This window comes from Homo sapiens, chromosome 10, assembly GCF_000001405.40.
Source record: "Homo sapiens chromosome 10, GRCh38.p14 Primary Assembly".
Lineage (NCBI taxonomy): Eukaryota > Metazoa > Chordata > Mammalia > Primates > Hominidae > Homo > Homo sapiens.
In genome coordinates, this window is record NC_000010.11 from 117,898,669 (window position 1) to 117,900,023 (window position 1,355).

At 43.4% G+C, this 1,355-nt stretch overlaps 1 annotated feature.

Moving 5' to 3' along the window:
• Window positions 282-983: an enhancer, noted in NCBI's record as "OCT4-NANOG hESC enhancer chr10:119658461-119659162 (GRCh37/hg19 assembly coordinates)". NCBI's record gives its function as "activates a minimal SCP1, AML or CMV promoter by ChIP-STARR-seq in naive H9 embryonic stem cells {active_cell/tissue: H9 hESC(naive)}" and the evidence as "EXISTENCE:reporter gene assay evidence [ECO:0000049][PMID:30033119]".

The following is a 1,355-nucleotide window of genomic DNA, read 5'->3' on the forward strand; positions in this document are numbered from 1 at the left end:
AAAAGGGAATTAAAACATTCCCTTTGATTTTTCTACTTCTGCCCCCAGTTTATAAGCAGGACTATGTAGAGATAGTCAACTCACTTAGGACTGTTCTAAAGACAAGTTGTAGGTCTGGTTTTAATCAGGTGTGTTTGAGCCACAAGCACCCAAAACATACCCTCTATGTTCTTCTGGGAAAGAGGCATTGAGAAGCTCTTATTTAAGGAATCTTTAACTTATTAGACTAAAGATGCTACCATCTGGGTCATTTCCCTGGTTGATGTCCCTTTGTCCTAGATGCACTTTCAAGACTAAGATTCACACACAGTCAGCCTAGTGGTTGGTTGGTAGACCTGAAAAATTTCAAAGCAGCCTAGGTGGTTATTAAGAGGCTGCAGGCCATCTTCTTTGGGGGCTAATGGTGTATTCACCTGGCTCTTTGTCCTCAGTGAGCAAGGTCAGGGTTCCTTGCTGTGTTTGCTCTTCTGTCACCAAAGGGAACCAGTACAATTTAAAGCATTCTCTGATGTGCTAAAAGCTTCTAAAAAAGATGGTTAAGCAAACAAAGCATTCACTTGCCTTTCAAGCCAGCCTGGCCTGAAGAGCTGATTGACAAAATTGATGATCCTTAAGGAAACATTTCCTCCTCATCAGGTCATTTCTCAGCACAAAAGATCCAAGTGCTCCTCAAGGTCCACAGGTTAAATTCCAAACTCATTATTCAGCCATTCAATGAACTGGCATCAGCCACTCACTGAATTGGCATCAGCCTTAATCGTTTCCCACCTCTGCCCTCTGAGCTGTCCTTCAGTCACACTGTTCTACTCATGAGCACAGCTGGCTGAGCCCAGGATGTTCTTTTTCTGCCTCTTCTGTTATTCTAGCTATAGCCCATCCTGGCTACTCTCTTGACCTCAGGCACTTCTTGCCAACATCCTTTTTATAGTGACTCTGTGTCAGTTAAGATTCTTTCAGTTGCAAATGACAAAAAGTGCGAACCAAACTGGGTTAAACAAAAAAAAAAAAAAAAGAAAAAAAAAGGAAGGGAGGAAGGAAGGAAGGAAAGAAAGGAGGGACAGAGGGAGGGAGGGAGGAAAATTGTTGGTTCTTGTAACTGAACAGAGTTCAGGATGGTTGTTGGCTTGATCCAGGCTTCAAATGCTGTGCCTGAGACCCAGTTTTCCTTTCCATTTCTCAGTTCCATATCTTTGATGTTGAAATAATTCTGTGGTCCCTCCTAGGCATAAGGTGGCTGCCAGTAGCTCCCGAGATTCTATCCTTCCATCTTCCCATTCAATAGGAGACAGGGAGATTTTGGTGCCACATTCCCAGCCAAAATCTCATTGACCGTGGAGAGGACAATGTGACGAGCT